The sequence below is a fragment of the Homo sapiens genome, chromosome 7 (assembly GCF_000001405.40).
Source record: "Homo sapiens chromosome 7, GRCh38.p14 Primary Assembly".
NCBI classification, from domain to species: Eukaryota; Metazoa; Chordata; class Mammalia; order Primates; family Hominidae; genus Homo; species Homo sapiens.
Window position 1 is genome coordinate 12704016 of NC_000007.14, and position 14379 is coordinate 12718394.

The 14379-nt window shown below is 38.1% G+C and overlaps 1 annotated feature.

The window, feature by feature from the left end:
• Positions 11579-12246: an enhancer, noted in NCBI's record as "OCT4-NANOG-H3K27ac-H3K4me1 hESC enhancer chr7:12755219-12755886 (GRCh37/hg19 assembly coordinates)". NCBI's record gives its function as "activates a minimal SCP1, AML or CMV promoter by ChIP-STARR-seq in naive H9 embryonic stem cells {active_cell/tissue: H9 hESC(naive)}" and the evidence as "EXISTENCE:reporter gene assay evidence [ECO:0000049][PMID:30033119]".

Genomic DNA, 14379 nt, shown 5'->3' on the forward strand with positions numbered 1-14379 from the left:
CAATCTTTCCAGATGTGGTTGCTAACAGATAATAATAAAAAGTGAAGCCTTGAGCCAAGAAAAGCCCCAGCATGACTCAATATAGACCAAGGTTCCAGAAAGAACTAATTTCTTTCCAAACAAAGAACATGAAGTAAAGCACAGCTGATCCCTAGCTACTACATTCATTTCAGTTTTGTTTCCAACTATCTTTTCAGAGACGTTTGACACTAGCCTGTATCATTATTTATACTATTCTAGAATATGAAATTCTAGAATATGTATACTTTCTATTTATACATAAACATTTACATTGATTTCATATATGTAATCATATTATTTTTAAAAGAGGGTATAAGGTATAATTTAGTGCTTTGTAATTCCTTATTCATTGATCAATATATATTTTTAAAAGATCAGAGGCTTTTTTTTCCAAACTTCAGATTCTTTTTTTAAAAAACTGTTGTGGGTACATAGTAGGTGTATATACTAATGGGAGTACGTGAGATGCCCTGATACAGCCATGTAGTGCATTATAATCATCACATCATGGAAAATAGGATATCTATACCCTTAAGCATTTATCCCCTGTGTTACAAACAATCCAATTATACTCTTTTAGCTATTTTAAAATGTACAATTAAGTTATTATTTACTATAGTGACCCTGTTGTGCTATCGAATACTAGGTCTTATTCATTCTTTGTATCTATTTTTATTTTGTACCCATTAACCATCTCCAGTTCCTCTCCACCCCTCCACTACCCTTCTCATCCTTTGGTAACCATCCTTCTACTCTCTAGCTCCATGGGTTCAATTGTTTTGATTTTTAGCTCCCACAAATAAGTGCAGACATGTGAAGTTTGTCTTTCTGTGTCTGACTTATTTCATTTAACATGACTTCCAATTCCATCCATGTTGTTGCAAATGACAAAATCTCTTTTTTTTTTTTTTTCCCACTGTTGTCACCCAGGCTGGAGTGCAATGGCACAATTTTGGCTCACTGCAACCTCCGCCTCTTGGGTACAAGCAATTCTCCTGCCTCAGCCTCCCAAGTAGCTGGGATTACAGGCGCCCGTCACCATGCCTGGCTAATTTTTGTATTTTTAGTAGAGACAGGGTTTCACTATCTTGGTCATACTGGTCTCGAACTCCTGACCTCAGGTGATCTGCCCACCTCGGCCTCCCAAAGTGCTGGGATTACAGGTGTGAACCACTACACCCGGCCAATCTCATTCTTTTTTATAGCTGACTAGTACTCCATTTTGTATATGTACACATTTTCTTTATCCATTTATCTGTTGATGTACACTTAGACTGCTTCCAAATTTTTGCTCTTGTAAACAGTGCAGCAACAAACATGGGAGTGCAGATATGCCTTCGATATACTGATTTCCTTCAATATGTTGATATCCCTAGCAGTGGGATTGCTAGATCATATGGTAGTTCTATTTTTAGTTTGGGGAACATCCAAACTGTTTTCCATAGTGGTTGTATACAGAGTCTTTAATTTAATCTTTACTAGGTACTACAATAGTTATCATTTCTGAGTGTTTTTAGAAACATTGAGTATTTCAAGCAGTGATTTCTCCAGAGACTAAGATACATGTATCCCTACAAGCATGGACATGGATTGGGAGTGAGGAGAAGCAGAGCCTTTGGTGGGTTTTTTGTTTTGAATAAAATTGCTATTGATATTCTTCCCATTAATCTAAGCCTCAGTATCTGCCATTTATACTTATCAGATTAAATTGTCAATTTCCATTTCAGGTATACTTTAAATTCTTGATATGATTTGCAGGTGATTTTTAAAAAATTTTTAATTTTGTTTTGTTTTGTTTTGAGACAGGGTCTTGCTGTGTCACCCAGGCTGGAGTGCATTGGCATGATCACCACTCACTGCAGCCTTGAACTCCTGGGCTCAAGTGATCCTTCTGCCTCAGCTTCCTGAGCAGCTGGGACTACAGGCCCACACCACCGTGCCTGGCTAATTTTGTATTTTTTGTAGAGACGAGAGTCTCACTGTTGTCCAGGTTAGTCTCAAGCTCCTGGACTTAAGCAATCTTCCCACCTCGGCCTCCCAACATGCTGGGATTACAGGCATGAGTCACTGTGCCCAGCCTTCTTGATATCATTTTTATCTAGCTAACATATTTTGGAATATAATGAATCACTTATGTATCTTGGAATGATTATTTTTAATTTCTTAAATTTGAAATGCTGTGATTTCAGATCCGATGGATAGAATAGAAAAAGTTAGACTAAAAGTGTGATGGGATGACATGTAAGAGCTCTCGAAGAGAGAGAAAGTGTGATATTATTAAGACTTGGGTTCTGGAACCAGGCTGCCTGGGTAAAAATGCTGGTTTTGCCATTTATCAGCTATATAACTTTGGACAGGTTATTTAGCCTCTCTGAGCCATGCTATTCTCAACTATTAAATGGATAACAATAATATACCCCTTTAGAGTTGTCATGAGGATTACAAGAATCAATACATGTTAAGTAGTTAGAATCTTGCCCTACCCTTAGTAATCATCCAATATTATTCTTATTATTAGATTACCAATAAAATTTTGTCTGAGGTTTGTACAGAACACATATGAAATTTCTGACATTCTGTCAAGTAATGTCATTTTCAGTAATTCTTCAGAAGTTTGAATGAGCTAACGCTCACTCCGCATATGATATTTTTCGTATCTATACCAATTCTGTATATGGCAGTCTGTGGTCTGCGTAATAATTGATAGAAATGGATAAGCAAATGTTAAAACTCTGTTGGAAGAGGGAAGGGTGGATTTTGTCGTAAGTAAATGTGGGAGGATCAAAGAGATTTTTCAGGAGGCAGAGCTAAAATTTTGCCTCTTGGCTACACAGAGGAATGTTCAGGGAGCTCTGATTTGCAGGAGGAGCAGCAGGCAGCCACAGACATCTTCAGGTTCTGCCTTTATTGGACTCTTCTGACCCTCTGTTGTAATTGAAAGTCAGGTGGAGAGAGGGCTTGTGCTGTACTCTGGAAGTCACCAATAATTCTCAGTAGTAAGTGTCACCACTTTGATTACATAGCCTTCCTGAAATGTTGATGGCCTGGAGTTTTACAGGTGCAGTGTATACTAAATTAGCCATGACCAGAAACAGGATGTCATTGTCATTCCTTTCAAACTACAGAGTAGTAATTTGGTAATGTGGGAACACCTGGATTTGTGCCTCCTTAAACCTGAAATAAAAGGGAGAGGAATAGTCTGAGTCAACTGTCTTTGTGACATCTGACCCATGGTCTACATTTCTTTGAAAACATTGTATTTGGATACACACACACACACACACACACACACACACACTAGCTTTTGTTTCTTAGAAAAGCAGCTCCTTGAGGGAGCCATTACTTTGCTGTATTATGTACAATAATGTGGGTGCTACATGAATGTTAAGTACTACTGCTAATGTTACTGGTAATTCACTGGTGAGGCATTTTGTGAGTCACCACTTACTGTGTGTTCACAATGTTCACAATGTTTGAACTTGGTTATACAAATGTATCAAGTTATTTTTTATATGAAATTGACTATTAGGATATTTAATCATCCAAGTCAGAGTCAAGGACTGGCACTTTAAACATTTTTTTTTTCCACTTTCAATTTTGGAACAATTTGAAAATTGAAGAAAAGTTGAAAGAATCATACAAAAAAAGGTATGTATACCCTTCATGCAGAGACCTCATCCAGGGTTGGCCAGTTGTTTTAATAATGTCCTTTATGGTAAAGGGATGTAGTCCAGAATTAGTATGGTATCTGGTTGTCTCATATTGGAACAGTTTCTTCCTCTTTCCTTTCATGGCCATGTCATATTTGAAAATTATAAGTCAGTTGTTTTGGAAACTGTCCCTGAATTTGGGTTTATCTAATGTTTCCTCGTAATTATTTTCAGGTAATGCATTTTTTTGACAAAATTTCACAGAAGTGACGCTTTGCTACTTTCCTTGCATCCTATCATGTGGCACATGGTGTCAATGTTTCCCATTACTAGTGATGTTAACTTTGATCGTTTAAATAAGGTGGCTTCTGTGAGGCTTCTCTATTGTAAAGGTACAATGTTTTTATACATTTTGGAATGAGTAATTACTTTGTGGGGAGAAATTTTGAGACTGTAAAATTCTGTTCCTCCACCTACTTTTACCCATTAGTTTTAGCATTCATTGCTATGTCTTGCCTGATTATTGCTATATTGGTTGAAAAATGTTGATTTTCTAATGCTTTCACTCCTTCTACATTATTTAGTATTAAACTCCCCATTTATTTATCTTTATCATAGAGGACTCATGAATTCCTATTTTATTCAATGTACTATAATTCAGTACTATCATCATTTCTTTTGATGCTCAAAAAAAATAAAAATAAAAATAAATAAATAAAAATAGATTTGACCAGTAGGAGTAAGCCCTTTTCCAGGTTGGCTTCTGTGTACTTTTGACATGTTCTCATTATTCTTTCAGCACTTCATTACTTCCTGGCACAATCAGATGATTTATGTTCATTTGTTCTTTCCTTGTCCCAGTCCTGAGATCAGCCATTCCTCCAAGAAGCCCTGTTTCTTTCAGTAGAGTGGCATTTAGAAATCAAGATCTGAGTACTTGATATGCTAAAAGGATACTGCTCCTTCTAGGCCTTCCTCAGTGGAAAAATAATTTCTATACATGCATATTGCTATTGCTCTATTTCCTCCTCTCTTTTTCTCTCCCTCACATATTTGTATGTGTGCATGTGTGTGTATGTGTATCTACCTACCTATATATTTATATATACACAAATATACTTATTTATGAGTACACACCAACACCTCCAATTCCTATTTCCTGTCACCACAGACTTTATTATAGTTTTATTCCTTGTCATATTCATATATTCCTTCTCTGACAGTAAGATGATGACGGCTTCCATTATCTTACTGTATTAATTGCTCAATCCCCCCATATGTAGTTAATCTACCAAGCTTGCTAGACTGACTTCCTACCTAATTGCTTTTTCAACGAATAGTAAGTAAAGGACAAAGTAAAGGGTGGAATGAAAGAGGAGGAAGAAAGAAAGAGAATAACACATTTTGAAATCTAAATTAAAATTTAAAGGTAGATTTTTGCATGTTTTATATGTATAGAAGTAAGGTTCTGGGAATCGAGTTTATTCTTAGTTTTTTAAGATCATGAAAATAGGCCGGGCATGGTGGCTCACGCCTATAATCCTAGCACTTTGGGAGGCCAAGGCGGGTGGATCACTTGAGGTCAGAAGCTCGAGACCAGCCTGGCCAACATGGTAAAACCCTGTCTCTACTAAAAATACAAAAATTAGCCGGGCATGTTGGCACACGCCTGTAATCTCAGCTATTCAGGAGGGTAAGCCACGAGAACTGCTTGAACCCAGGAGGCAGAGGCTGCTGTGAGCCGAAATCGTGCCACTGCACTCCAGCCTTGGCAACACAGCAAGACTGTGTCAAAAAAAAAAAAAAATCTTGAAAATACATCCTAATATTTTGTCTTTATATATTCACACATTAACAAGCATTAGGCATACAAAGGTGAATGAGACAAAGTCTGCAGAGTTCAGATATGATAAAACAAGCAGACAGGTTAAAATATTAATAATTCCTATAATAGTAGAAGAGTTATCGTAGAGGAATACAAAGAGTTTCAGGAAGAAACTGAGCTACACTATAACACAGAAGAGACCAATAGATTTTGCATAAGCAGCAGAATGATTTCTCTTCATTAAGAGTAATGATCCACATGCTAAAGGTTAATTTCTAGTTGGTCTTCTGAATTCTGGCTTTTTCTTAACTCTTTTCTTCTGCTTTAGTCATCCTATAGAGGACCAGAAAAAATTAGACACAGTGAAATCTCTCTTCATGGTCAGGACAGTTACTGAGCAACAGGAAACACAACTATTCCTTATAGGCCTGGTGCCCTGTTTTTTTCCAGCCCTCAGGTTGGGAGCCTTTCGCATATTTTGCATATAACCTCTGACTTTGCAATGGAACGGAATTTTATTATATTTAATACCATATAATTTTTTTAGTACTGTATTTTTTGGTGGCTTTTAAAGCCACTATTCAAAATCTTTATATTACCCAATACTGCCAATATTCTAAAATTCTTGTGCAAATAAATTGTGTCATTATGTACAGTTAATGGACTTAGTAGGCAAATCAATTTTTATTTTTTTGGTTAAAGGGCTCTCCATTGTGTAAGTGCCTTTAAAACATGCTTATTAGTTAAGCATCTCAACAATGTGGAATGTGGGTTGGTTTTATCACTCTCCAATTAAAAGTTATTGCTCCATAACTTCCAAGAAAGGAAGTTAGGCACTTGGAGAAATTGGTTCAGTATTACATTGTGCAAATAGAATAAATAAATCCAGACTACTGATTCTCAACCTGTTTTCTGCCCTAAATCATCAGAGAGATAAATAGATTCTCTGTTGTAATAACTGAGTCTCAGATTCTAGCTCAGGAAGCCATTATGCCTTCTCAGTACTGGCCTTCTAAAACTTGATATGTTCAATTTTCAAAGAAAATCAATTTAGAAAGAAAAAATATGCTTTGAGATGATAAAAAAGGGAATAGTCATGTAATACAAAATCCACTAAAGCTACATTTCTCTATGCCTTATAGAAATGGACAATTATTTAAATATTAAAACATACCACTACCCCAATTATATATTTTATAATATAAAAATACTTCTTAAACTAAGTAGTAGTATTACTACTGAAATCATCTGTGTATATTTGATATGGGACATGGATAATGGGTCACATCTTGACAAGCATTTCAGGCCTATTGAAAGCTGGTTGTAACAGGATGCAGTTTGCATGAAGGGCTCATTATGATTATATCTTGGACACAGCACAGTAACACTTTTCTTTTCTTTTTTTTTTTTTTTTTGAGACAGAGTTTCGCTCTTGTCGCCCAGGCTGGAGTACCGTGGTATGATCCCGGCTCACTGCAACCTCTGCCTCCCGGGTTCAAGCAATTCTCCTGCCTCAGCCTTCCAAGTAGCTGGGATTACAGCCACCACGCCCAGCTAATTTTTGTATTTTTAGTAGAGGCTGGTTTTTGCCATGTTGGCCAGGCTGGTCTAGAACTCCTGACCGCAGGTGATCCACCTGCCTCGGCCTCCCACAGTGCTGGGATTACAGACGTCAGTCACCCGGCCCGGCCGACACTTTTCTTATGGCTTAGAAGTTCACAGAGTTCATAGGCAATTCATGTAAACTCAAAATGTTTGAATAGCCACACGAACGACTTCAGCTTGGCAGTCCCTTTGTCTCTAGGTTTCTGCTCGTTTCTATGTATCTAGAAATTCTGCCTCAGTCAACGTCTTGGACTCCTATCTTAGTGTAGGTAGAATTACTCATCATTACTTACTTTGAATCTAGATGGTTTCTTCACTGCTACTTTTAAAACCAGAGAGTCACCAAGTCAAGCACAACCACCTTGTTCATTCTCTTTTTTTTTTTTTTTTTTTGAGACAGAGTCTCGCTCTGTCACCCAGGCTGGAGTGCAGTGGCGCGATCTCGGCTCACTGCAAGCTCCGCCTCCCGGGTTCACGCCATTCTCCTGCCTCAGCCTCACGAGTAGCTGGGACTACAGGCGCCCGCCATCACGCCCGGCTAATTTTTTTTTTTGGAGGCGGAGTCTCGCTCTGTGGCCCAGGCGGGAGTGCAGCCGCGCGATCTCGGCTCACTGCAAGCTCCGCCTCACGGGTTCACGCCATGCTCCCGCCTCAGCCTCCCGAGTAGCTGGGACTACAGGCACCCGCCGCCACGCCCGGCTAATTTTTTTGTATATTTTTTAGTAGAGATGGGGTTTCACCGTGTTAGCCAGGATGGTCTCAATCTCCTGACCTCGTGATCTGCCCGTCTCGGCTTCCCAAAGTGCTGGGATTACAGGCGTGAGCCACCGCACCCGGCCTGTTCATTCTTTTAAGGCCTTCATTTTATTCCTGTTGGTTTCACTCACAACTGATAAAAAAGGTAAATGTCGTGTGAGTAGATAAAAATTTTTGAAAATTTGTTTTCAAAGTTGTTAAAGGAAAATACTCTTCTGAGTGTTTCCGTTCTGGATTGTTATTAGTAAGAAAAATATTTTCACAATGATACTATCAAGCATAAAATTCAGCAAATTATAATACTACCCTTATTACACAGTCTCAGGAAAAAAGGTAATAAGTATTATTTTGCATTTAGTGATAGAAATATTAAGGCTCACAATAACAATTGATTTTAAAATAATGATTAATTTTCCAGCTAAAGTTGTCATTTGACAAGCATTTACTGAAAGTACTTGAGAAAACGACAGCAGTAATTATAGCAGTAATAAAGCATAGCAGGCTAGACTTGCCTCTGTAATGCTCATGACTCTTGTGTAATGTAGATAATTAGCAAACTATCGAAACCACTGGAGGAACATCCTGTAACATGGTTAGGGAGACCTTTGTCCTCAGATTTGTTAGCTAATGACATTGTATAAGGATTTGGCAAGTAATTGAATTCTGTTGACTCTTAAATGTTTGGTAATGTACAGTTAAAACTATAAAGTCTGACAGAGGACATGGAGTTGGTACCTTTTCTTTTAAATTTTTCACAGCAATCTTCCAGTATGTTCTTATCTTCCTTGGAAAACCTAGTGTGTCTGTCTCCCAGCAGGTGAAATGAAATGACAATAGACTTTCATTTTGAAATTCAGCAATTTCGTAAGCTTATTGAAATTTTGTTTATCATTTGCTAAACTTTACTGGTATAAATATTACATGGCAGAAATAAAATTATAAGTTGTACATTAGTTTATTCATTTAAACTTTTGTAACACAAAGATCAAGAAACATAACATATTCTGTATTTTTGCCAACAAATATCTAAAATCATTATATTTTAAGTTACAATATCTGCAATCATAATAAATATAGGTCTTTTAAAATATAAAAATTTGAGGCATAAAAGTAATATGATATGTTCCAAGTCACAATGGCAGTAAATATAAATGCTAAACTGAAATATGAAAATCTAGTTGAGGATTTGCTTAGAGTAAGTTTGTAAAATTTGTTTTGAAGAAAGAAAAACAGATTGAAAGTATTTCTTTTTAATATGGTTTCAATTTAATTTAAAAACAATGCAACAAAGCCATTCTTATGTACACACATAGCCATTAAAGATGTTCCTAGCACAAAGATTCTCAAATGTTCCTAGTTCATTCCACCCTTAATATCTGGTAATTTTTTCATGGTGACTCTAGGAAAATAGGAATACCTCATTCGTTTATTAAGTAGTTAGGCCCAAATTTAGTAGTAGCAGTTTGTGTAGTGTCTGACTGATATTTCTGTGTTCCCCTAAAAATTTAAAAACACTATAACACTCCTGTGGGTTCACGGTATCATGATTGGGAACCACGGTCCTAGCAGCATTAAGAGTGTGTGTGTATTGTAGGGGAGAAAAAATAGTTTTACTCTACTTATTTTAGGTTCAGTGCTCGAGACCCCTGTATCAAACGAAAGACTAACAAGCAAAAAGCATACACATTTATTTAATATCAGTTTTCCGTGACAAGGGAACCTTCAGAAGGAAATGAAAACTCAATAAACAGTTTTAAACTTGAGTGTTTTTCCATAGTAGGTTTGATGAAGAGTGGAAAGTCATGGAGAAATATGATAGGACAAAGGGGATATGAGCTACATGTAATGAGCTGGGAGAAACTTGTCAAGGCTTATTTGTTCAGATTACTCTCTGTGACTCTGTGTCCTTGGAGATAAGGATATTCCTTTCCTCCAGGAATAGGGAAGCACCTCTCACATAAGGATCTTATGCACTGCTTCAAGGGAAGGTCAGAACATGCTTCCTAGGTTTTATGATCTGCTTCAGGGGAGAAGGGAGGCGGAACTTCACAGAGACCTTCCTGCTTATGCTATTTTCTCAAATTCCTTCAGCTTAAAATATTCAATATGCCAAGGTGCCATATTTTGGGGTAGTGTGTCCTGATGTGTGTGTCTCTCTCTCCTGAACTCTCTTATCTATCCATCCAGCCATCCTTCCACATCCACACACACACACACATATAAATCAGTCTCCTGCATTTTTATTTGCTAAGTAAAATTACATTCTGTTGTAATTTTCTCCTTGCACTTACCATGACTTGATATTTTCTTGTTTACTTAGTTGTTTATGTGTTTAATGTTTGTCTTCCTTCACTGGGCTATGGGGTCCAAGAGAGTAGGAAAGTTTTCTGCCTTGTTCCCCACTGTATTCCTAGAACCTAAAACACTGCCTAGTGTATACTACATATTCAGTACACACTGTTTGGGTGAATACACATCTTCCAAAGACAAATGTTCATTCTCAAGGACAGTACATTGTAGATAGAAATATTCTCTAACTCCCATATACTTTGTAAGAAACTTCACCTTTCTTGGAGTTCTATTATCACATAATTATAGACAGTGCAGTTTATCTTTTACTGCTCCCAATTGTGCCCTTCAGAACATTTAGAAAAGGAGTCATGTAATCTAGTTATACAAAGAAAAGCTTTGAAATAAATCGCTGTCCAACAAAAACCACACACACAAACACACATACACAAAACCCACTCTATTACATTTAGTAATCTTGGTGAAGGGAAGGGAAGTCATATATTTTACCAATTATAGGTATTTTAACCTTTTGTTTTCAAAACTATAATAAAAATATTCAATAGTGTATTGAATTTTAATTTGCAGGAGACTATCAACATATTAGGTTGCTTTGGGGTTAACTTTATAAATTTTTTTTCGCAAAAATCTCACAATAAAGCTTCTGCTAACTGTCCATGCATATTTTGAACTTTTTTGGAAATGTATTATATGTAATTTAATGAATTAAATTTTAAAAATGTGTTCTTAAGTTACTGGACTTTTTAGTAGTTTCAGGAAAGGTAAATCAATATAGTGTTTCTGGTTTATCCTAGTGAATGATTTTTTTTTCTGAATATGTGTTTCCTTGGAATTTAAGTTCCACAGATCATTGATATGTATAGTCTTTTTCACAAGAAGTTTACACATTTTTTTGGTGATGGTGGCTAAGTGGTCTTTAGGCAAAATGATCTGATGAAATTAAAATTGAGCAATTAGGAGGGGAATCTATTCAATATGGACTGATTATGAAAAATTCAGACCCCTTTTTCTTAATTTTCAGGGATCAGAGGGTTTTAAATTATATAAGTTTCTAAACATGTATTCTGTTTATTGAGATGAAGCCTAAATTGGTGGTGGCAGTGGGGGCTGTGTGTGAATAGAAACAGAAAAAGCCTACCATTGACGCCTTTGATAGATTTTAACTGTCCAATTAATTTGCGTACATGAAATGTGTAACATACCAATATTTTGCTCCCGGCACACAGATCTCCAGTGGACATCGACAATCAAAGCTTCTATGATTATTTCACAATATTCAGCAATCCACCCAATGCTAACTGGGATGTTTGATTTTGCAGCCTCTTTCAGAGCAGTTGCTAAAAGTGGCTCCACATCATAAGAGGGCTTCCCTCCCTCAATCCATGAGAGCAACTAGGTTTTGCATCAGTGAAAGGAAGAAAAAGCAGGAGTTTGGCAAGAGGCTGCAAAGAGACGGCACTGGGCTCCACTAGAGTTCCTTCCCACCGCGTTTCTCATCCTGTCTTCTGCCTAGTGGATATGTCTGCGTGGGCGTGCACACACATTGGCTGATGAAACCCCCTTCCTGTTGCACAGGGTCAGAACTAAGCGAGGTGGGTGTAGCTTTGGAGGGTTCTGAAATCTAAGAACCAGCTTCCTTTCCCACCGCTTTCCGCTGAGTCAGTTCACTGCAGAGTGCTCTGCAGGATCTGGAGGCCTTTGTGTTCAGATTATTTTACTAGCTACAAAAGCCACACCCTTGTGCTACACAAACAGAACACTTTGTCCTTCCAGGAGGTCCGTAGTTTGACCACAGTTCTGGGATTTCAAAGCTGCCTCACAGAGGCTTGCCTATTGTAATGTAAAGTGTTGAGCTGAGTGACTGTCCCTGTGTTATAATGCAGCTTCACAACTGCTGGTTTAATGGCTTACCGTGCTAGTGGGGCTTTGAACAACAGACCCTGTCATTTAAAACAGGCTCAGAAATCCATTTATTACCAAAAAAAATTTCAATGACAGTGAGAAAAAAATGGAATAATGCTTTTTGATTTAGAAAAAATCTATTCATTTATTTTTTATGTTTCATTTATTTATTTTAGACAGGGGGCCTCACTATGTTGCCCAGGCTGGCTCAAACTCCGGTCTCCAAACCATCCCCTTGCCTCAGCCTCCCAAGTAGCTGGAACCACAGGGGCGCATACACCTACCTACTCTTTCTTTTTTTTTAAAAACAAAACAAACCCCACACATCCATGTATAGCACACACACACGCACACACACACACACACATATATACGGTCAGTAAATGACCATTGGTGCACAGGCAGCTGTAGGAAAGAAGTGGTGTAGCGGAAGGACGGCTGAATTTGGACACTGAGCTTCAGTTGGCAGCGTAAGTCCCCTGCCTTCCAGCCTGGGAGCAATCATCTTCATGAGATTTTAATTGTATTCCTGTTCTCCTCAAACCCTGTTACAGACTCAAATGCATCTTACATAATTATTACATTTTGAATTCAAATAACTATAAATAACTGCCTTTTACTGAATGGTGATTACATGCACTATACTAAATGCTATGCTCATTTTCTCATTTTATTCTCAGCATCACTTTATGAAGTCACTTCTGTAATCCTCTTTTCACTAATGAGGGAAGAGAGGCTTAGAGATGTTAAATCTCTAGACATGGCCACACTGTTAATAATGGGGAGAACAGAGCTTCTAGCAAGATCTGGTAGTCTCCAGAGTTCAAGATTGCATCTGCTAAGAAACGTGGCCCATTAATTACAGCAGCCTTAGCATAAAGTAGGGCTTGGAGGCCAGTCTGGTCAAACTAGGGGGTCAGAAGACTTGCTTTGAAGTGCTGACTTAGGAAGCACGTTGTTTTTATTTAGATGGTGTAGGGGAAGTGCTGATAAATATTACCGGACAAGTAAGCACCTCTCTCCACTGGCCCAACAAGCTCTCTCCCGCATACGCTTGGCACAATCACCATTGCCTCTTTTATTGCTTTGCAACAGTTTTCATAAAATTATTTGGGGATCATTTTTGCTCCAGCTGTGCAGACCTCTTTTAAGTCTTCCTTTTTGCATTCAGACCCCCTCCCTGGAATGGACATTCATTATCATCCATCAAACAATATCCTAACTCTTCTTCAAAGTGACTCTCAGAAAACATTCATGATGACATTTCTTTTTAGAATCTCACACCTAGACTAATCTACACCTACCAATTTTAGTTATTACAAAAAACTGTTGTAAAACAACCTGCTCCTACCCTTTCGTTTGTTTGTTTTCTTCTTTTTCTTTTTGATATGGGGTCTCGCTTTGTCACCCCGTACCAGGCTGGAGTGCCATGGTACAATCATAGCTCACTGAAAACTCAAACTCTGTGGCTCAAGTGATCCTCCTGCCTCAGCCTTCCAAGTAACTAGATCTATAAGCACGCACCACCACACCTGGCTACCCAGCTAATATATGTGTGTGTATAGATGGATGTATCTTTTTTGTAAATATATTTTGTCTGTTTGTAGAGACAGCTGTATAGACAGCTAATATATGTGTGTGTATAGATGGATGTATCTTTTTTGTAAATATATTTTGTCTGTTTGTAGAGATAGCTGTATAGACAGCTAATATATGTGTGTGTATAGATGGATGTATCTTTTTTGTAAATATATTTTGTCTGTTTGTAGAGCCTGTTTGTAAAACAGGAAGGGGGGTTCATCAGCCAATGTGTGTGCACGTCCACACAGACACATCCACTAGGCATAAGACAGGATGTTTGTATTGCCCAGGGTGGTCTCAAAGTCCTGGCCTCAAGCAATCCTCCTGCCTTGGCCTCCCAAAATGCTGGGATTACAGGAATGAACCATTTGCCCAGCCGCTTTTTTCTTTTTCTCCCTTCCCTCCCTCCCTTCCTCCCTCCCTCCGTCCCTCTTTTCCTTTTTTCTTCCTTCCTTCTTCTTTTTTTTGAGACAGCGTCTGTCTCTGTCGCCTAGGCTGAAGTGTGCAGTTGCACAATCTCGGTTCACTGCAACCTCCACCTCCCAGGCACAACCAATCTTCCCACCTCAGCCTCCCAAGTAGCTGGAACTACAGGTGCAAGTCACCACATCCAGCTAATTTTTATATTTTTATAGAAATGGGGTTTGGCTGTTTTGCCCAAGCTGGTCTCAAACTCTTGGGCTCAAGCGATCCACCTGTCTTGGTCTCCCAAAGTTCTGGGATTACAGG